The sequence below is a fragment of the Homo sapiens genome, chromosome 13, assembly GCF_000001405.40.
Source record: "Homo sapiens chromosome 13, GRCh38.p14 Primary Assembly".
NCBI classification, from domain to species: Eukaryota; Metazoa; Chordata; class Mammalia; order Primates; family Hominidae; genus Homo; species Homo sapiens.
The window spans coordinates 113,458,918-113,482,050 of NC_000013.11; the positions used below are offsets into that span (position 1 = coordinate 113,458,918).

A 23,133-nucleotide genomic window follows, 5' to 3' on the forward strand; every position below is an offset into this window, starting at 1 on the left:
AGTATGTGGAGATATATTTATGCAAGAAGACAGGAGCTGGAATCTCCGAGTCAGCCTGAAGAGTGCAGTGTGGAACTGACCTAAGGCATCATGCGGGACTGAGAATCTGGGAGTGGTGGTTTCCCAATACCTAACTCCATGGCTCCACCATGGGGGTCTCTAACTCTTCACATCCAATTCTGAAATGCTTTGGCTTAGAGGACTGTCTTCTTGATTTACACTAAATATAAAACCCTATTTTTCTTTTGTATGATTTACAGAAAATAATAAGGAAGGGGGTAGTATTATGACCACGCCCATCTCAGTGACGGGGTCACCACTCTAGAGGCAGGAGAAGTTAACGTTCTCAGGTGTAAGCATTTCGGTCAATCATCTGAAGCACAACTTCCGGTACCTTCTTCATCGTAGTTAGACATATCATCCGCAATCATGTTTCCAAAGTCCAGCAGGAGGTTCCAGGTGTCCCTTGGAATTGATCTTTTGTGATGTTCCTAATATATGAGAGAAAAAAAAAACCCACCAGGTTTAAAATACAGAGCTTAACTCTCATATATTCTAGTGGCCTAGCGATCTTCAATTAATGTTCATTAATTTGATTAGGAACAAGTACAATAAAATTGTTAAAAGTAATAGCGTTCTGTATAAATGTTAAGTGCTACAACAACGCTAATGTCCAAATATAGAAAGCAGATTTATTTAAGAACAAAACATTTTAAATATTACAATTATAAACTCCTGTTTTGTCACATAGAAGGGCAGCATTTTAATCTCGTTACCTGCCCATTAGCTGCATGTATATATATATTCACGAACAGCTCATAAGCTTGTCTTACATTTTAAAACATTAACTGCTATCAAATTACACATAGTTTTCTGCAACTTGTTTTTTTCCCACTCAGCATAATGTCTGAAACGTATGCGGGCTGACGTGTGTGAATGTGCGTTCCTTTGCGTGGCTCCAAAGCCGTGCTCCATCGCACCAATATTCTGATTTTTTAGTCCGTTCTCCTGTGGATGGTCACTGGCTTTTCCAGTATTCTGCCGTTACAATGACACTGTGAGCGCCTTCATCCCCTTCTCCACGCACAAGAGCGTGAGGTTCTCTGGGAAACATCTGTGACTTAGGTTTGACCCCAGGTAAGGCGTAAGGGGGCTGTGGGCACAGCATTACTGACCTCTGGATATTTCGAGAGAAGTAATACAGCACATGATGTAATGAAACACATAGCTGCAAAGACGTCTCTCCATGGCAAACCCACAGGACTGAGTGACGTCACCTTCCACAGACAGCTCCGCCCTCCACCTGCCACACTCTCTGGGTACCATTCCCAGGCAAGGAAGCGGAAGTGACGTGCCCAAGGCCACAGGACTCTAAGTGGCAAAGTCTGTGTCACCTGGTGTCAGGTGAAGGGAGGCAGTGCGGGTCCTGGCCCGGCCGTGGGTTGGGCGGTGGAAGACCACTTCTTTCACTTTCATGGACAGAACAGCAAGAGGTCTGGGCATCTCTGCCATTACCGGGCTTGTGGCCACTCACTTCCAAAAACCCACAGCTGCACCTGCTGCCAGCAAGACGGGCTGGCATGACGCAGCCTTGCCCCGCACCAGCAAAGTGTCTCTCCAGAGGGTCCACAAAGGCCTCTTTTCCTCCTGAGCATGGTGAGACACACTTAGAAATGGCTTCAGACCACAGACACACACAGAGGCTGGGCACCGCCACATACAATCCGCAGTTCCGGAGCCCAAACCAGTCCACAGAAGTGTGGCGCTGGCACCATGTCGAGGATTCGGAGTTCTCAGTGGAAAGACAGAATTACCGTCTAGGTCCTCAGAGGAGACAACACGGGGGCTGCTGGGGTTGCAGAGTCTCCAGGAACCCCAGCCTGAGAGGAGCTTCCCGTGACTGCCAAGAAGCCACGTTCTGAGGAGGCCCCGGAGTGGCCCCAGCTCAGCCCTGCAGTCTCCGGCAAGGTGACAGAGCCAAGTGGCAACCTGTCTGGACCTGCGGATCTTTGTGTGGGATGTTCATCTGCTGAAAACCTCCACGTGTGAGACCTGAGGTGGATGATTACATGCAGCCTCATACCTACCGACTTCCCTCCACAGTGGGCACACAGCGAGATGCAGGAGGACACTTACCATTAAGAATGTGTTCCAGAGATCTAAAAATTTAAACCTTCCAGATAACACTAATTTCCAATACGCAACAGCCATTTCTAAGTCTGGTAAAAAGAAAGAAAGAGCAGTTAGTAAATCTCACTCTCTTTTTCTACTGCACAAAAAACGACCACTTCTTAGCATGTCAATATTTACTTAATAAAATGTGGCAATCTCACCCAAGAGTCATGAGGCTTAATCTCTACGGAAGTGCTCCTGAGAACTGTACGTAGTCTAATTTTATAAATCTGGGGAAACTCTTTTTAAAAGGATTTGTATATTAAGTTATTTGGATATGCACACAATTCCCCCCTAATTAATCAGTTTTGGAGACTTGCCTTTTCACACATATTGGGTGTTCTTTAAACCTGACCTGATCTGGATACTATTAATGCGTATCATTTGTTTTTAAAAATAGGCCACTGGCCTGAGTGTCGAACTGCAAATCAAAGGACCAGTTTAGGAAGGAAGGGACACACTGTTCTCCAAATAGACCTGCCTTGTTGCTATATGAACTAAGACAGAATCTGTTTCACAAGTAATTACAGCGGCCTTATGAGGGCTCCAATTTGTCCCTAAAGTGTCAAGTCAAATCGGCAGCTAGCAGGGAAAGCGTTCTCACTGATGCATCTACACAGGACACTGCGTATCAATCAAAGCCAACGCCCTCTTTTCCCACACGGGAAGGTGGTGATTATTTCACGACTTCTATATAAATCTCTGCTACTGAAGATGTCTAATAGAATATGAATGCCGAGTTTCAGGGCTGTCTCCAATCCATAGTTTGTGAAACACTGATTTATTCTCTGCTCACCAGAAGCTTGATAACGATTTCTTTTTATATGCTTGACACAGCAAGTATATAAAGGGGTTCAGAATTCTATTTTTTTAAAGTGACCGGCCGGGCGTGGTGGCTCACGCCTGTAATCTCAGCACTTTGGGAGGCTGAGGCGGGTGGATCACCTGAGGTCAGGAGTTTGAGACCAGCCTGACCAACATGGAGAAACCCCGTCTCTACTAAAAATACAAAATTAGCTGGGCGTGGTGGCTCATGCCTGTAGTCCCAGCTACTGGGGAGGCTGAGGCAGGAGAATCACTTGAACCTGGGAGGCGGAGGTTGTGGTGAGCCGAGATTGCGCCACTGCACTCCAGCCTGGGCAACAAGAGCGAAACTCCGTCTCAAAAAAAAAAAAAATTAAATAAATAAATAAATAAAATAAAAAATAAATACATAAAGTGACCTCCTTTAATCATGTTGAATAGTGTTCACCACTTTTAGGCAATAAAAGAAGAGTTATATTTATGTAAGATTAATGTGAAAAGCAGATTAATAAAAGTTAGGTAATATGTTAGTTTAAATGCAAAGTACATAACTAAACACTTCTCAAAAGGTTTTTTTCTAAATCTGGTTTAATCCCACTTAAACAGAAGTTATTAAAGTTGGAGCTGTAGCAAGATTTCCAGGGTCGATCATTATTAAAATGGGATAAGAAAGAGGCATATGAGTAGCAAATCCCACTTTAAATAAAACGCCTCTAAATTCCCCGTGTGCAAAGGCTTCATGACCAACTTTATCAGTTTTGAATACCCTGGAGTCTGAATCAGAAAGAAAGAGAGAGTCAGAAAGTGCCAAGTAACTGAGATATGGAACAGCTCTCTAGACCTTACCGATGGGACCCGCAGTAAAATGCTAAGAAGATGATTAGTCTTGTCCTGCTTATAAGTCTACATCCTTATCACTTAGGAAGAACATTAATTGAAATCTATATTCAACTCATCTTAATGATGTAAAGCTTTCACATTGAGAAATGGAGGTGAACCTGGGGAGGAAAAAAAAATAAAGTTTTATGGCACACATTTAATCTAGTTACTTTGGGTTAGTTTTGGTGCTAAAAACTTTTCTTACAAAGGACCTGATTTGTATGTTTGTCAATCACATTATCAAAAGTAAATATATGCTTTTTCAATATTTATTATTATTTACATAAAAATGTTTAATATTGTCCTAATGGACTTAGCCATTTGCAAAACAGTAACAACAACAACAAAAACAACAACTCAGAATGGCAGGACTCGAGAGTGGAAACAAGACCAACAGCTACTCTGGTGGCTACATCTTTATAGCAGCTATTTTCTTTCCCAGAACCTCTAAAAAGTCCCATCTCCTAAGTGAAAACATGTTAGAAGAAGGCATTACTACTTAAAATTCATGCTTGTGATGCTCCACTTAGGATTAGACAATGAAGATGTGTCCTCTATCAAAAAAGTACCTTAGGGCAGACATAAAAATTAGCTCTCATGAAACTTCACTTCCTCAAACATCAAGATTCTCAAAGCTGGCCGGGCACAGTGGCTCACACCTGTAATCATAGCACTTTAGGAGGCCGCGGCAGGAGGATCACTTGAAGTCAAGAGTTTGAGACCAGCCTGGGCAACAGAGCAAGACCCTCACCTCTTTAAAAAAAAAAAACAAAAACAAAAACACAAAAGATTCCCAAAGCCAACTGATTCAAGACTCTAGCCAGTATGAAACTATGTTGTTTCTTACATTAAAACAGAGCCAAGTAACTTTATCCTCTCTATTAGGTTAACCGTTAGTTAAGAGTAAAGCATCATCTTACATAAAAACAATACAGTACAATCTTCACACACACAGATACACATAGACACACACAGATACCCACAAAGAGACACAGACACACACAGACACACACAGAGACACACAGACATATATAAACAGACACAAACACACACACAGACACAGACACAAAGGAAATAAAGGGTAATCTGTGTCTTTTGGCTCCATGTTCCCACGGCAGTCCATGCTTTTTCTGGAACAGTTGGACACTTGTCTTGACCTGTTCAATTTATACTTAATTCCTCACAAGACCGACCACATCATCTTTGGAAATGGTAAACTGACGGCTCTACTTCTGGGCTATAGTCATAAAATTACTCTTCTTGCTTTATTTCTGTTTTTAAAAAGCCCTCAAAAAACTTTTCTAAAAATAGTGTATAATCTATTTGAAGTGTTTACAAAATCTAATCTTTTCCCGAGGAGGCTATTGTTTTCTTTAATAAAATTTCATATTCTCTCAGCTATTGTCATGAAGCAAAGAAACAAAACCAGTAATGCTTCCCATCCTATAGTGAATGATTCTGACAAACATTTCATTTAAGTATCTACAGGAGTAAACAAGTCCTTGTTGTCAGTGAGGAATTCAAGGATAAACTATAAATCTGTTGCAGCTTTCAATGGCCTGTTCTGCCACTGAAAGCTTTGATGCTTAAGGAAATTTATAAAACGCAGGCTGAACATGGTAGGTCCTGAATCTTAAAAATGTTTCCAAACACTCTCTACCCATATACTGACCTTCCTTGAAACATTCATGCACAAAGAAAATAAATTTTGCAACTCTGAACTGGGCAATTAATTTAGACTCTAATTTATAACCTCCCGGAAATTACCATGGAATGAAGTGGTGGCACCGAGTGGAAGGGACGCTGCGCGTTTCCAGGACGGGGCAGTTGGACGTTGCTGCGGGGGACACGGCAGCCTCTGCAGGCCCAGTGCTTCTGCCCAAGCCACCACGCTGCAAGGAGGCCCACGTGGGGCAGCTGGAGGCAGGTGGGAGGCCATGGCGGAGAGCAGCACGGATGGAAGAGAAAGGCCACTCAGCAGAATCTGCCCAAGTTCCTGACCCAATGGATCATGAGCTACCAAAATGACTGTCATTTGAAGCCACTGCGTTTTGAGGTGTTTGCTGCGCAGTCATTACTAACCCAGGCAGCCGGCCTGGCTGAAGCCCCAGGGCCTGTGTTTCCAGCAAGTTCTGCAGTGATGCTGATCTTGCTGGCTTTGCCAAGGGCCTAGAAAAGCTCCATAATACTTTTCTGTATGTGTCAAGTTAACAAGGCATTATAAGATAAAAATTCTTAAAGATAATACCTACATATGACAGTCAGATAAAATGCTAATCTTTTAAACATTTTTCCATGTCAACATTTAAAGGAAGTATCCCCTGCATTGCAGAGTATCAATAAATATAAATGATTATCTTTAATAGAAGCTGAGTTATCCTAAGATTATGCTGAAGATATTAAAGTAACAGTTCAAAATAGTCAGAAAAAAAGTTTTATCATTCACTGAAATTTCAGTGTCCTTCCTGATAAACATTTAACAATAAAAAGTAAATGCCATTATTTTAAAATTTGGATCAGACTAATCCTCACTTTGGAAAGGAAGCTGGATAGACCTCTGAGAATTAAACTGCTCAAAAGTAAAGCATGACCCAGACTTTCCTTGAAAAATCATGATCGTTACACTCAGACCTGAAATGGCCGAATTTTAGAAAAGTGTGAGAAGCAGCATTTCCTGTTTGGGTGACTACTGCCAGAGAAAACTGGGGTGAGGAAACAGAGAGAAGTAAAAAAAAAAAAACAAACAAACCCTGCATGAGATGAAGAACAGCCACAGCAGAAACCAGCACCTGTCAGGAGCACAGGTGGCCCTGTCCTTACCAAGTGACAGAGCCCAAGAACACCGAAGGAGCTCATCTCAAGTCTTCCTCCACATCATTATTCTCTTGTCTATTTGCTTTTTTTTTTTTTTTTTAATACGGTCTGGCTCTGTCGCCCAGGCTGGAGTGCAGTGGTGCAATCTCAGCTCACTGCAGCCTCCACCTCCCAGGCTCAAGTAATCCTCTTGCCTCAGCCTCCTGAGTAGCAGGGACTACAGGTGCACACCACCACACCCAGATAATTCTTGTATGTATGTATGTGTGTGTATATATATAGACAGATATATATAGATAGATAGATAGATAATTTTTGAGATGGAGTCTTGCTCTGTCACCCAGGTTGGAGGGCAGTGATGTGATATCAGCTGACTGCAACCTCCGCCTCCTGGGTTCAAGCGATTCTTGTGCCTCAGCCTCCTGAGTAGCTGGGACTACAGGTGTGTGCCACCAGACTCAGCTAATTTTTTGTATTTTTAGTAGAGATGGGGATTTGCCATGTTGCCCAAGCTGTTTTCGAACTCCTGACCTCAAGTGATCCACCCAGAAGTGCTGGGATTACCGGTGTGAGCCACCACACTCGGCCTGCTTGTTAGTTTCTAGAAAAGAGTGGTAATGGTTTCTTGAGAATACTGATGATAGTTACTGAGTAATCAGGGTCTAAACTAAAATGAGCTTTAACTTTAATGACTATTTTGCCTTAGCCTCTTAGAAAGAAATAGAGTGGAATAGCAAAGATAAAAAATAAAGAGTTTTATTGTAGAAAACCAAATGTTTTCATTTGTTAAAAGTAGACAGAATCTGGCATCTGGTATGTAGCTCATAAATCAAGAGTTATTTTACAAACAGAGTCATTCTGTAGATGCAAAAATACTTTTCAGTGTAGACTTTCCCCTTCTTTTGATATGCTAAGTCATTTCTCCACTCAGAGGCAAAATAATAAATCTTCAGTGCCTTTAGAATAAACATTTACTGCCCCGAGTGTGGAAACTAACTTAAATTTCAGCGTAGGTTTTCAGGGGGCAGGGTGAAGTCTGCAGACCAAGAGCTCAGTCTCCATGGCTGGTACAGTAAATCTCTGGCCACATTTCCTGGAGGCCATGTTTAGTGGTGAAACAGGCTTTTCTCTAGCTGGTTAAGGCTGGAAGCTGAATCCAGGTGGACGGGATGGCATATTGTTAAAGAATCCCCATTGCTGTCACTGTCCTTTGGATTTTTTTTTTTTTTTTTTTTTTTTTGAGAGAGTCCTGCTCTGTCGCCCAGGCTGGAGTGCAGTGGCACGATCTCGGCTCACTGCAAGCTCCACCTCCTGGGTTCACGCCATTCTCCTGCCTCAGCCTCCTGAGTAGCTGGGACTACAGGCGCCCGCCACCACGCCCGGCTAATTTTTTATATTTTTTTAGTAGAGATGGGGTTTCACCATGTTGGCCAGGGTGGTCTCGATCTCCTGACCTCGTGATCCGCCCGCCTCGGCCTCCCAAAGTGCTGGGATTACAGGCGTGAGCCACCACGCCTGGCCTGTCCTTTGGATGTTAAACCTCGTTTTTTCCCCCACACAATATAAAAAAACTTAAAGCACCAGAACCAGTGATGAAGACCAGCCAGTTTAGACCACAAGTAATATTGCTGGTGGTACACAGCAGAGGAGCCCGTTTACTGTATCTCTAGGTAGAAATATCTAGAGGACGTGACAGCCTCTGAGAAACATGATGTTACTATGTGCATTTTAAAAAATATAATACTTGCATGTAATTGCTATAATGTGCATATTGGAGGCAATTTTGAAACTGGTCTGTGATCACCGGTGTAGTCTGTTGTAAATTCAAAGACAGCTTGATGAACTTTATTTTTATTTTTTTACCTATTGTTTTCAGAGTGCCTATTTTGAATTAAAATTTGTGACACCACTGCAAAAAAAAAAAAAGGAGATTTTTAGTCCCCAAAGTAAAATGTCAGCTTATAAAGAGCAGTCTTGGGTACATCCATCAGGATGGCCACTATTCAGAAAACAGCAATTGTTGTCAGGATGTGCAGAGGTTGGATGCTCAGCTTCGTTGCTGACAGGAATGTAAAAAAAAATATGGTGGTTCCTCGTTCCTCAAGAAATTAAACAGAATTACCATACATTCCAGTAATTCCATTTCTGGATATATACCCAAAAGAATTAAAAGCGGGCCGGGCGCGGTGGCTCATGCCTGTAATCCCAGCACTTTGGGAGGCCGAGGTGGGTGGATCACCTGAGGTCAGGAGTTCGAGACCAGCCTGACCAACATGGAGAAACCCCATCTCTACTAATAATACAAAAATTAGCCGGGCGTGGTGGTGTATGCCTGTAATCCCAGCTACTTGGGAGGCTGAGGCAGGAGAATTGCTTGAACCTGGGAGGCAGAGGTTGCAGTGAGCCAAGATCACACCACTGCACTCCAGCCTGGGCGACAGAGCGAGGATCCATCTTAAAAAAAAAAAAAAAAAAAAAAGAATTAAAAGCAGGGTCTAAAACAGATACGTGTACACCCATGTTCATAGCAGTGTTATTCACAATAGCCAAATGGTAAAAGCAACCGAAGTGTCCACTGGGATAAACAAAACGTGGTCTATGCACACAGGGAATATTATTCAACCTTGAAAAAGGAAGGAAATTCTGACATATACTACAACAAAACATTATACCAAGCGGAATGAGCTGGTCACAAAAAGATACATACTGTGTGATTCCACTTACGTGAGGTCCCAAGAGGAGTCAACTCCAGAGACCAGAAGTAGAATGGGGGCTGCCAGTGGCTGGGGGAGAGGGGAGTGGGGAGCCAGTGTTTGATGGGGACAGCGTTTCAGTTTGGGAAGATGAGAAAGTTCTGGGAATGAATACTGGTGATGTTTACACAACACTGTGAATCTACTTAGTGCTATTGAACCGTACACTTAAAAACAGTTAAAATGGTTAAAAGACAAAAGAACAGTCCTGGGGAAATAAACCCCCAAGGACTCCTGACTGGTTTAAACGCGAGACGTGCCACGCTCCATCAACCTCTCCTTCAGACAAGCGGCCTATGAGGACGCAGCACTAAAGGGGGCGGGGGAGGGCCCTGGACAGGCGGGGCGGAGGCAGCACAGTGTGTAACCTTCCCTGAATCTGCGCATAAAAGCAGATGCAGCAATTAGAAAGCAAAGCCAAACACCCAGAGGCAACATTTACCATAAATTTAGGTGAGAAAGTATCACCACAAACCCAAGTTGTAAGCTAGGGGATGAGCCACTGCCAGCAACAGGACCCGTGTGTTGCCGTCATGCCGGGGACGTGGGGGGCACAGGGCCTCTGACAGATGTGAGAACAGGAGGGCCTCAGAGGTGCCTACACGCCGGGACCAGGTAAGGACGAGCCTGAAGTAGGCTGTGGCTGAGGGCAGAGGCCACCAACAGGGAAGTGCCTGGGAGCAGAACAGGCTGGGCGGGAAAGGGACAATGGAGATGGAAAAGAGAGAAAAGCTGAGGAGGGGGGAGGAGCAGTGCCAGACAATCTCAGACAGCAAAGCCGACATTTCTGTCTACTACACGCCTGCACACACACACACACACACACACACACACAGCCAAGAGGGAGCACCATGAAGTCGAAAAGCTGCCCCGAACCATCCTCCTTCTGAAAGACTAGGAAAACTAATTTCACATAAAAATGAGCAACAGAACAGCCCTGAGATCAAATCCCATACAATGCTATCCTGAGAAAAAAGATACTACAAACAGTAGTCACCCCTAGAAAATGAATGCATGCTGGGAAACACACCAACAGAACAGATCAAAAGTGCAACCTTCAGCTGAAACCATGGCTCACGCCTGTAATCCCAGCACTTTGGGAGCCTGAAGTGAGAGGACTGTGTGAGACCAGCAGTTTGAGACCAGCCCGGGCAACACAGTAAAACTCCGTCCCTCCAAAAAAAGTTTAAAAATTAGCCAGGCACAGTCTGCGTGCCTACAGTCCCAGTTAGCTGGGAGGCTGAGGTGGGAGGATCACTGAAACCCAGGAGCCTGAGGGTGCGGTCATGGCCACACCTCTGCACTTAAACCTGGGCAACGGAGGGAGACCTCAACTCTAAAACAAAATGTTAAGCCAGGTGTGGTGGCTCATGTCTGTAATCCCAGCACTTTGGGAAGCCGAGGTGGGAGGATCACTTAAGCCCAAGAATTCGAGGCTGCAGTGAGCTATGATCGCGCCACTCCACTCCAGCCTGGGCAAGAGAGCAAGACCCTGTCTCGAAATAAATCAAAAACTTTTTTTTTTTAAGTGTGATCATTGACTTCAAAATAGGCTAAAGGACATTAAGAAATGAAACAAAACATGAAACACCACAAATGAGAATTAGGAAAACTTAGTAATGAGGAAATCACACTCAAGAATTAGAAACAAAGGAAAATCATTCTGGAAATGACTTTACTAGAAGGCACACGAGGGAGATAAACTCAAAGGCAGCCACACATGGCATAACATCTCAGCCAATGATAGTCCGCGTAAGTGACAGCAGTCCCACAGGATTGCAAAAGTGCATTTTCACTGCCCCTTTTCTATGCTTCAGTGTGTTTGGATACACAAATCCTCACCACCGTGTTACGGTTGCCTACTGTCTTCAGTACAGTCACACGCTGTCCAGGTTTGTATCCCCGGAGCCATGGGCTGTGCCATACTGCTAGGCGTGCAATAGGCTATGCCACCCAGGTTTGCAAACATGCGCCCTGTGATGTCGCACAAGGATGAGACTGCCTAACAATGCATTTCTCAGAACCTATCGCTGCCATTATGTGACACATGATGGGTAACAACTTCAGAAGAGGAAATGGTGAAAAAGGAAGATCATTTTTAAAATAAAAAAGAAATGAAGTACAGATAAAAAGGACTGAGAGAAAGCAACGCACACTGCCGAAGACTTAACTCCACAGAAGACTCTACAGAGGACCCAACTCCACAGAAGACCCAACTCCACAGGGGACTCAACTCCACAGGGAACCCAACTCCAGAAGACCCAACTCCACAAGGGACCCAACTCCACAAGGGACCCAACTCCACAGGGGACCCAGCTCCACGCAAGACCCAACTCCACAGGGGACGCAACTCCACAGGGGACCCAACTCCACAGAATACCCAACTCCACAAGGGACCCAACTCCACAGGGGACCCAACTCCACAGAAGACACAACTCCACAAGGGACCCAACTCCACAGAAGACACAACTCCACAGGGGACCCAACTCCACAGAAGACCCAACTCCACAGGGGACCCAAATCCACAGGGAACCCAGCTCCAAAGAAGACCCAACTCCACAGGGGACCCAACTCCACAGGGGACCCAGCTCCACAGAAGACACAACTCCACAGGGGACCCAACTCCACAGGGGACCCAACTCTACAGAGGACCCAACTCCACAGGGGACCCAACTCCACAGAGGACCCAACTCCACAGGGGACCCAACTCCACAGAGGACCCAACTCCACAGGGGACCCAGCTCCACGCAAGACCCAACTCCACAGGGGACGCAACTCCACAGGGGACCCAACTCCACAGAAGACCCAACTCCACAGGGGACCCAACTCCACAGAAGACACAACTCCACAGGGGACCCAACTCCACAGAAGACCCAACTCCACAGGGGACCCAACTCCACAGAAGACCCAACTTCACAAGGGACCCAACTCCACAGGGGACCCAACTCCACAGAAGACACAACTCCACAGAAGACCCAACTCCACAGGGGACCCAACTCCATAGAAGACCCAACTCCACAGGGGACCCAACTCCACAGGGGACCCAACTCCACAGAGGACCTAACTCCAATTATATGGGTAATAGGAGTTTCCATAGAGACCAAAACCAAATACAAGGAACAGAACAAATGCTTAAACCTATAATTCAAGAACATTCTCCCTGAAATTAAAAAAAGATTAGAAAGTACTTACTGAAAACACTCAGCAGCATATATGAGAACACTGACCATGGACGACCCACAACACCCAGACACATTTTAGTAAAATTACTGGGCTTCAAAGCAAAAGAAAAAATGGCCTTTGTTTGGGTATTTAGGCAAAACAGTAAGCAACTTATAAGACCAAGAAGATTGGCTTATCATCATTCTGTTTGACAATAACGATCTACGCCAGAAGAAAGTGGAGCGACACACTTAAGACATTCAAAGGATCGAAAAGGATTTTTCATACCCAGCACGCAAGGACTCAGGGAATACTGTCCCCAAAAGCACTTCCTGGGGATCCACTGGAGAATGAATTTCAAAACCTGTGAGCAGAGAGACGTCAACAGAAGCCCTGGTGATGAGCAGGGGCTGCTGGGGAACACAGAGCAAAGACCACCCACAACGACAGGGGAGGCCTGGCTGTGTGCCTGGAAAACAAAGGTAAGGCCCAACTATTGTTTTAAGTCGGGGGAGAGTGTATTACCCCCCCAACCCCGCCCTTTTCTTTTCCGCTACTCACAGTAATTCTACTGGTGGAGACAGCATTCGTTTCGTCACTCTGAGCCCGTGGTGTGTGCCGTGTGGGATTGGGCTAACACATCACCATGGATATTCTAACGCTATCCTCACCTGTGCCCGTGAGAACCAGAGCAGGAGAAGGGAAACACAGCTGCAATACAGACAAGCTCAAGTAGGAAAAATAATCTGTAGTCCTGACTGTGGTTTAGAAGCATCCAAATGAACAAAAATAAAAAAAATAAAAAAATAAAAAGCCTGGAAACGACGACTCTGAATGAGCACCAGCCGCGACCCCACCACGGCCTGAAACCAGTTTCCGCTAAAAGAAATCAGGGCTTCTTGGAGAAAAAGCGAATACAGGTCTGGGGTAGAAGGTGACTGGACGAGCCCAGGGCAGCCTGCCGTGCAGACAGGAAGGGAGCGGTCACCAACACCAGAGTACACCAACAGCACTCCATGAGTTCACGGGGACATGAACAATAAACTGACCCTCGGTCGAAGGAAGCAGGGAACGCACTCGCCCCCGAGGTCATCCGGCCTTTCTGAGCAGCCTGCACCTCTGGCACCCAACACCAGGAGACAGAAAGACTTCCTTCTGGGATCATCCCAGCTCACAAACAGAAAGGGCAGGACAGGCTCTCATCAGTTGGCAGCCCTGAGCAAGGCTGGAGGTCTCGACACTGCTGGTGTCCCTAGGTGCCGCATGCGGCAGGCTCCTGAGCCAAGACGCAGCAGACACCGCTACTGTCACCCAAGAGGCAAAGCGAGGGCCCAACAGGCCCCAGGGCCTTGCACAGCAGGTACTGTAATTCAGTAACCAGTGTGGGGCCGAGACGCGTCTCAGCACCTGTTCTCTCTCACCAGCCCCGTCTCTCTCCCGTGTCCCCCTGCGCCTCTGCTCCCGTACCTCTGTCCTTCTGTCCCCCCGTGCCTCTGTCCCTCTGTCCCCCATCTCTCTATCCCGTGTCTCTGCCCGTGTCCCCCCGTGCCTGTCTCCTGGGCCTCTGTCCCCCGTCTCTCTATCCCTCTGTCTCCTGTGCCTCTGTCCCTCTGTCCCCCGTCTCTCTATCCCTCTGTCTCCTGTGCCTCTGTCCCTCTGTCCCCCGTCTCTCTATCCCTCTGTCCCGTGTCTCTGCCCTTCTGTGCCTGCATTCCTTGTCCTTCTGCCCCGTGCCTCTGCCTCTGTGCCTGTTCCTCTGTGCAACTGCCCTCTCAGGTGATCACTGCACACCTCCCAGAGCCCAACCCAGCTTCACCTCCACCTTCACTGCAGTCCCTGAATCCCTGCTGCAGGGTTAGGAGTGACAGTTAAAGCGAATGCAGACTCCCCAAGTAAAAAAAATATTTATTATTGTCCATGCAAATGGGCCACATTAATGGTCCATACAAATGGAGTACAGTATTTTAAAATAAAACGCAAAAGTGGGCTGAATTGTTGGTATGCGGGCTGGGTCTATGTGGCACAGAGAGAACAATTACGAACTGATACAGGACATTTACAAATTAGTTTACATTTTAAAATTTAAATATGTAAACCCAGAAGTTGAGAGACGCTATCAACTGAGATTTTCAGGTACGCGGTATTATAAACTCATCTACCTACATACAGAGCAAAGTGTGGAGAAGAAAAGAAACCAAGAGGGTGGTAACGTTACAGCTGGGCCGGCCGCAGTGGCTCAGGCCTGTCATCCCAACACTCTGAAGTGGGAAGAATGCCTGAGCTCAGGAGTTCGAGACCAGCATAGGCAACAAGGCAAGACCTTGTCTTTACTAAAAATTAAAACAAAAATGAAAATAGCCAGATGCGGTGGTGGACGCCTGTAGTCCCAGCTGCTTGGGAGGCTGAGGTGGGAGGACTGCTTGAGCCCAGGAGATTGAGGCTGCAGTGAGCTGTGATTGCACCACTGCACTCCAGCCTAGGTGACAGAGCAAGACCGTATCTCCAAAAAACCAAACCAAAACCCAAAAACATTACAGTTGGCTGCACAAAAATCATGTTGCTCACGTCCACTGAAAACCTCATTATGATCTGGCATTTTACGTATTTGGATTTCATACTCACCTAAACCTTTCTGCCCTGGGTTCTTAGCGAAGGTGAAGGTAAACTGATAAAAATCTTTAAACTTGGCTGTGTCCTTCAGCTCCTGCTCCAGTCTTGGCAGAAGAGCCTTTAGCTTCTCCATGCTGTCACACCTGCGATGACAGAGAGTGGTTTGTCTTGCAGCAGATGCGCCTCCCTAGTCGACTCCCCTTGTGCCCTGTGCAGGAACTGTGACCAGGCACGCAGCTCCAGCTGGAGACCGTATTTCCCAACTTCCTTTCCCAGGCGCGGCCTAAGGCTCTAAGTGATGATGTAAGAGAAGATGGGGGGGCAACATCTCCCTTGCTAAAAGGAATTCAAAACGTTCTGAGACAGATACTGGTGGCAGCCGCCCAGCTCTGGGAATATACTAAAACCACTGAGTTGTAGGCTTTAAATGAAAGAAAATATGGTATGTGAATTCGATCTCAGTAAAATTATTAAAAGAAAAACCCAAAACCAACATCTTTTGCCCTCTTCTTGAGAAGTGGAACAAGGGCGTGGTCTAACTTGGTAGCTTTGACCACGGAGAGAGGACCCTGCCCTGCGGTGACAGGGCATGAGGTGACAAGATGGCAGAGACGAGGTAATGGAAAGATGGAAAGACCGCATTTCTCAGTGACTTGCAGAATGGCAGTCGCCCTGCCAGCCTGGGCCACTGTTACCTCTGTCCCATCATACAAGCGAAAAACAAACTCATATAAACTTAAGCTACCTTATTTAGGGATCTCTTCATTACAGCAAGTTAGATTTAAAATATCCAGGTATTGTAAAACACAGCTCTATGTTGTTTTAGAATTGAATTTTTCCATCAAAAAGTCAATAACCTTTAAAAACAGTCAACAGCCTCTAAGGCAGAAATCGACAACAGTAAAACAAAGTCTATCTTTGTAATTTCGACTGCACAGCAAAGCACAGAATAAAAGCAACACTTACTCAAGTAGAGTAGACGTAAGGAAAGAACATTGAAGAAAGCTTTAGAGCAGCTAGAAAAGTCCTCGAAGACATACACGGAAAAGCACAAATGTATGACTCAGTCCTGCGCGCAGTCACGGTCAACAGCAGAAGGCGTATGTCACAGTGGTCCCATAAAATCATAATGGCACCTAGATTCCTGCCACCTCGAGGCGTCAGAGCCACTGCAACGTCTAGCACAACGCATGACCATTTCCACCTTCAGATGTGTTTAGACACAGACTTACCATTGTGTTACAGCTGCCTACAGAACTGAGGACAGTCACCTGCTGAACAGGTTCACGGCCTAGGAGCAACAGGCTGCACCACAGACGAGGTGTGTAGTGGGCTGTAGCATCTCGGTTTGTGTAAGTGCACTCTGTGATATCTGCACAGTGAAATTTCCTAACGATGCACTTCTCAGAACGTGTCCCTGTCTCTGAGTGACGCATGGCTGTACTGCAGATGAGGGTGAGCGTAAGCACCATCCACATCAAGGGTGGCGGCTGGGCCAGGTATGGTGGCTCATTCCTGTAATCCCAGTGCTTTGAGAGGTGGAGGAGGGAGGATCGCTTGAGGCCAGGAGTTTGAGACCAGTCTGGGCAACATAGAGAGACCCAGTCTCCACAAAAAATAAAAACTAGCCAGGTGTGGTGGCATGTGCCTGAAGTCCCAGCAGTGCACTGTACCCCAGTTGGCACAACAGAGTGTGACCTTCTTAAAAAAGGGAGTGGGTGGCAGCTGAGGGCTCTTTGCCATTTCAGCCTCCTCTTCCCTCCGGTGAGGCATGGACAATCAGACTTCTGGGCCAGGCCCACTGTGCCCCACCGCCTACTGGAGCCGTCCTTCACCGTGCCTCTAGCTGGATGTAATCAGGAACTCAGCGTGCACCACCTCACGTCTGGCTGTTTCTGCCTTTGTGATGTCCGAGAGGTTCGTTCCTGTGGGTATGCATGGCTCCAGCTGCTCATTTTCTTGGCCATACAGAATTCTTGTTATATACATATTTTATGATTCATAAACGCTACTGTTGGTGAACATTCCGGCTGTTTCTAGTTTCCTGGTTTGGAGTAATGGTGTCAACACTTCTGCACACAGATCACAACATACCTGTGAACGTACCACGTCAGGCACATTCCAGAGTGGATGGCTGGGTCATGGCGTCTGTGCACCTTCCATTTAGTAACTGATGTCAAAACAGTACACTGGAGTCCCCCTCCACGCATTTGCACTCACATTTGCTATCGTGTCTTATTTTAGCACCCAAGAGGGTGGTTTGTTATGGGGTTCTATTTCACTGTGGTTTTCACCTGCATTTCCCCAGTGAATGAGATTAAGCATCTTATACCTTAACTGGCCCTTGTGCATCCTCTTTTGTGAAGTGCTTGTCAAATCTTTTGGTTGTTTTTCAATGTCTTTTTCTTATTGTTTTGTAGAAATTCTTTATATATTAAAGATACAAGCCTTTGCCAGGAATTTTTAAAGAACTTTCACACACAACATGGATTGCCTTTCTACTACCTTGATGTTTCTTAACCAGAAGTTCTTATTTTTACTATAATACACTCTATCGGCATTTTTCTTTATGGTGATTTATTGTTTTTGTTGATGTTTTAAAAATTATCCTATTTCATAGTCATAAAAGACATTTTCCTACATTATTTTCTACAGACTTTTTGCTTTTGCCTTTCAAACTGAGATCTACAATCTATCTGAAACTGATTTTTACATATGGTATGCGGTAGAGGTCAGGATTTATTTTTCCCCAAAATACTAGCTAATTCTCCCAGTATCATTTATTGAAAAACCGTCTTTCTCCACTGAAGTCTAGCTCTGTCATAAACCAGAAGTCCCCCCATACACGGACTTCTTTCTGAGCGCTCCATTCTGCTCCACTGGTCTCTGGTCTATTTATCTGATCTGGCGCTTGATGCCATGTAGTCTTAATTACTGTAGCTTTAAAAGTTCCAATTATCTGGTACAGCAAATCTTCCCATCTTGTTCTTTTTCTTCAAGAACTGCTTTTTGACTGCGCGTTTTCATAGAAATTTCAAATCAGCTTGTCAAATTACACATAAACAAACCCACTATCTATTGGGATTTTTAAATTGAGATCACATTCAATATAAAAAGCTAAGGATAAAATACTGTATTCCAACCTATAAATGAAGTATATTTCTCCATTTATTCAGGTCTTCTTTCCTGTCTCTCGATGAATTACTATTTTCTCTATGGGAGTATCACACATCTTCAATCCAATTTATTCTAGGTATTTTGTATTTTTGAAGATACCGAAAGATGACGTAGATTTTACATGTTACCGTTTTGCTGGTTGTTGCACTTGGTGTCCTGAAATAGAACAGGTTTTTACTTGCAGGCCTTGGATCCTGTAGTTTGGCTAACGTCACTATTGATTTGAATATTTTACCCATAGGGTGGACTAGCTATGATCTCCTGTTTAATACTGAATAGAAACAGTCATTTGGGTTTTGTTCTGTCTCAAAGAGAAGGTGGCTTACAATTCCAGTAAGTATAATGTTTTCCATAGGAATTTTTTCCTTTTGGCCAGATTAAGAACTGCCCCTCTTATTCTTAGTTTTCTATGAGTTTTTTTTTTTTTTTTTAAATGAAGAAACATTGAATTTGATCAAACCCATCTTATGCACTGGGATGATCCTTTTTTTCCTGTTGTTAACCATGGTAAATTAATTACACCGATTGACTCTGTAACATTAAACGGATCTTGCATTCCTGGATATAACCAACTCTGTCATGATGTATCATCCTGGGCTTATCGTCTTGGGTTTTTTGCTAATGACTGGTCAGTTTCCTGATACTGTGTGTAGGATTTTTGCATCTTATAATCATCTTATGCATCTTCTGAGTCTTACAGCTGAGAGTGGCCTATAATTTTCCATTCTCAAATGTTCTTCCTTGGTTTTGTCATGCAGCTTTTGCTGGCCTTAAAAACAAATTGTGAAATCTTTCTTCCTTTACTTCTCTGGAAGAGGATGTTTAAAATTGGGGATTTTCCTTTTCATTAGGAGTTTGGTAGGATGTGCCAATTAAGTCATCCCAAACAGGAGTTGTCTCTTTGAGAAGATTTTAAACTACAGGCTCAAATTCTTAAGAGTTACAGAACTATTAAGATGTTCTATTTCTTCATGTGTCAGTTTTAGTAAATTACATTTTTCACATACGTTGTCAAATTTACTGGCATAAAGCTCTTCATACATGACTTTTTTTTTTTTAATGCTTCTGGCACCTATTATCTCGTCCCCCTTTTCATCTACGTACGTTACTTGTGATTTACCACATTTACAAGTCTTTTCAAATAACAAGCTTCTAGCTTTATTGATCCTTCCTAATGACAACTTCTTTTCTATTTAATTATTCTTGTAAATTAGTGCTTCTTTAAAAATATTAATTCCTTCCTTCTATATTCTTTTTCTATTTCTTGAGATGGAAGGCTTTGCTCACTGATTTTCAGCCTTTCCTTCTTTCTAAAATATGCATTTAATAAGCTGAATTCTACAAGCTTACATATATTGTATTTTCATTATTCAAGATATTTTCTAATTTCCATTGTAATTTCTTTCTCATCCCAAGGGTTACTTAGAGGTATGCAATATCCACACATATCCCTAGTTATCTTTTTGTTATATTCCTAGTTTAACTGTACTGTGGTCAGAAAACATACTCTGTATCATTTCAAACCTCTGGAAATTGTTGCAATTTACTTAATAGCCCAGTTTATTGTCAATTTTTATTAATGTTCTGTGCCTTTAATAAAGTTTTTTTTTTTTTAATTTTAAACACCAGGAGAGAACACGAACATAGTCCCCCACTACCACAAATTATGCAGTCCAGTTTCCCACATTTGGGAAAACCACAGGCGTCAGCACATCCAGAATGCAATGGATAAGCCCAGCTCTGGGAAAATCACCTTCATGATGATGGTATCTCTCCTGCCAGGCTGTTCTGTGTTTTCTTTTGAAAAGAATATGTATTCTTAAGCATCGAAGGCAACATTCTAAATGTTCTCCTAGGCCATTTGTTGTGCTGTCCAAATCTTCTATTTCCTCACTAATTTTTCATTGACTCATTCCATCAGTTACTACGATGTGTGTGAAAATTCCTCACTTTGATCATGGATTTGTATCTTTCTCTTTGTAGTTGCTTATTTTTGCTTTAAATACATTGGGACTCTTCAACAAATACATAAAAACGTAAGTGTGACTGCCTTCTTGGTGAGATAAGCCCTTTATCATTATGAAATGGTCCTCCTTATCTGTAGAGTTCCTGTATGCCTCAAAGCTGTTTTAGTTGTATCTATTTTAAACAATATGAACAGGTGATATTTAAAAATCCATCTGGGCCAGGCACGGTGGCTCCCGCCTGTAATCCCAGCACTTTGGGAGGCTGATGAGGCAAGGTGGTGTGTCCCCTGAAGTCAGGAGTTCAAAACCAGCCTGGCCAATATGGTGAAATCCCGTCTCTACTAAAAATACAAAAATTAGCCGGGCATGAGGCATGAGAATCGCTTGAACTCAGGAGACGGAGTTTGCTGTGAGCCAAGATCGTGCCACTGCACTCCATCCTGGGTGACAGAGTAAGACTCCATCTCAAAAAACAAACAAACAAACAAACAAGTAGGAGTACACTCGAAAATAATAAAAAGTTGAGTAAATAAGCTAGTAACATAAGCCTTTATATTATCAAGTATTATATACTGCACATAACTGGATGCGCTATGCTTTTTATACGACTGGCAGTGCAGTAGGTTTGTCTGTGCCAGCATCACCACACACAGGCAATGTATTGTGCTATGACACTATGATGGCTGGGATGTAGGAATTTTTTAGCCCCATTCTAACCTTACGGGACCACTGTTGTATAAGCGGTCCACTGTTGACCGAAATGTCATTATGTAGTGCATGACTGTAGTTCAGTAAGCTTAATGATTAAGAGACAGTTACATTAGGCCCTTTCATTTACTTTTATAACTTATCTGATAAGCGAGAAACACCTTAAGTTATTAATGAAGCCTTTATCCCAATCCTGTAGGTAGAATAGAAAAATGTTACAAGCAAAAACCAAAATGACATCTTAGTTTTTAACAGAGCAGCATAAGAAATTCTACGTTTAATATACAGTATTATGAAATAACACGAATGAACTGAACCTGGCATTTACTGTCAATTCAAAATTGGAAAGGAAAAAACTCAAAAAGAAGAAAATGAGTTACAAAAGGGATTAATATGAAAAAAATAAAAATGTGAAATGAAATAAAGTGTTAAATTGAAAATTAAAAGGAAACCAAAGGCTTGATAGTGCGGAGAGTACAGACGCATAAGAAATTTTAAAGATACACAAAGAAAATAAGCAGATATGAAATTAGTATGTACAGGTTGCTGAAAAATAATGTTAGAAGTATTTTCATTTCTGAAAACATTTAAGCTAAGAATAGTTGACTTACCCAAGTTCTGTCATGCCATCTAGAAATTCCTTTCTGCTAAATTCACACTGAGTTGCTGCCCTGAACTTCCACGCTATGACCAATACACTGATACTGGCAGGATCCAGGCTCAGATCATCACAAAACTGTTGAATCCCATCGACTCCAATTTTGTTTTCATCTTGTGGATCTGTAGTTAATATCAGGGGAAAAGGAAGTTATACTATTTTGAAAAGTAATTCTAAAATAGGAGGTTTGAATCCTAGCATTCGATTATACTACATAGTTCTAGCAAGCGTGTTTCCAATACATCAATCAATAGGCTGCAGTTTTCTACTACACATGAAAGAAATAGTGAGCAACTAATAATTTATCCAGAAAACGGTCCTATTTTTAAAATCTAGGTTTCTGGGTTTTAGGGAAAAAAAAAAATCACTGAATTTTTTTTGAGAAGATCTGTTCACTAAGAAAAACTTAATTTCCCTAAAGTGAAATAAAAATTTAAGTTTACAGAAATTTAGCTCACCCAAAGGCAAACTGCTATAAAATATACTGTATTGATAAAGTATTTACAATATCTTGAGTTTTTATCACAACTCTGCCAAAGTAAATGAATGATTGATGTTTTTCTTAAGTGATTTCATTTGCTAATTCTAATGGTACTGGACAATAACTACTTCTCAGAATCATTTAGCTTATGTATCCACATTTAATAGCTTAGAAATTCAGGTTCCCCACCCCCTATTTCTAGTTTAGAAATAAAATTAAAGAACTTAGCATTTGTTTATCAGAAAATCAAACAGTAAAATATATTTAAGGCATCCCAGCAAGACTTCACTAAAGCTAGTAATTTCAGACAGATTATATCATATTATCATAATGCGTAGGTAAATTGTTGGTTTAGAAGGTAAAAGTAGAAAACCTGTAGCTTCTCTGCTCAAAGAAAGATTAGGTATGATAAACTTTTCTTCCCCTTCACACAAAATTTAACTTTGGTCATTTAAGTAGTATACTACCACATATATATAGTTACCAAAGAAAAATTGGTGGCTGGGCACGGTGGCTCACGCCTATAATCCCAGCACTTTGGGAGGCCGAGGCGGGTGGATCACCTGAGCTCAGGAGTTCAAGACCAGCCTGGCCAACATGGCGAAACCCCGTCTCTACTAAAAATACAAAAATTAACTGGGCGGGGTGGCTCACGCCTATAGTCCCAGCTACTCGGGGGGCTGAGGCAGGAGAATCGCTTGAACCCAGGAGGTGGAGGTTGCAGTGAGCCAAGATCATGCCATTGCACTCCAGCCTGGGTGACAAAAAAAAAAAAAAAGAAAAATTGGTAACAAAATGAAGAAAGCCATAAACATCCTTCTAACTCTATTCTCTTATATCAGGGAGAAAACAACCTCAGCATAGTTTATGGGACAGAGGTTCTGTAAAAAAAATCCCCACTTATCACCTTATTCAATTCCATCTCCTAATTCTATACTTCATGAATAG

The 23,133-nt window shown here is 43.4% G+C and overlaps 1 protein-coding gene and 1 pseudogene across 9 annotated transcripts in view; both read right to left on the reverse strand.

Annotated features, from left to right (window-relative positions):
- Positions 1 to 23,133, reverse strand: part of DCUN1D2 (defective in cullin neddylation 1 domain containing 2) — a 35,745-nt gene that overhangs the window by 3,099 nt on the left and 9,513 nt on the right. For 8 of the 9 annotated variants that reach the window (XM_017020647.2, XM_017020649.2, NM_001014283.2 and 5 more), the window contains 4 exons: positions 21,658 to 21,826; positions 15,207 to 15,337; positions 2,137 to 2,219; positions 395 to 491 (listed from right to left, as the gene is read on the reverse strand). In XM_017020647.2, coding sequence (XP_016876136.1) covers positions 395 to 491; positions 2,137 to 2,219; positions 15,207 to 15,337; positions 21,658 to 21,826 — 480 coding nt within the window. Of the gene's footprint in view, positions 1 to 394; positions 492 to 2,135; positions 2,220 to 3,822; positions 3,975 to 15,206; positions 15,338 to 21,657; positions 21,827 to 23,133 lie in introns of those variants that run through there. The other variant, XR_007063687.1, reaches the window with a different exon arrangement.
- Positions 19,998 to 20,154, reverse strand: RNU1-16P (RNA, U1 small nuclear 16, pseudogene; annotated as a pseudogene).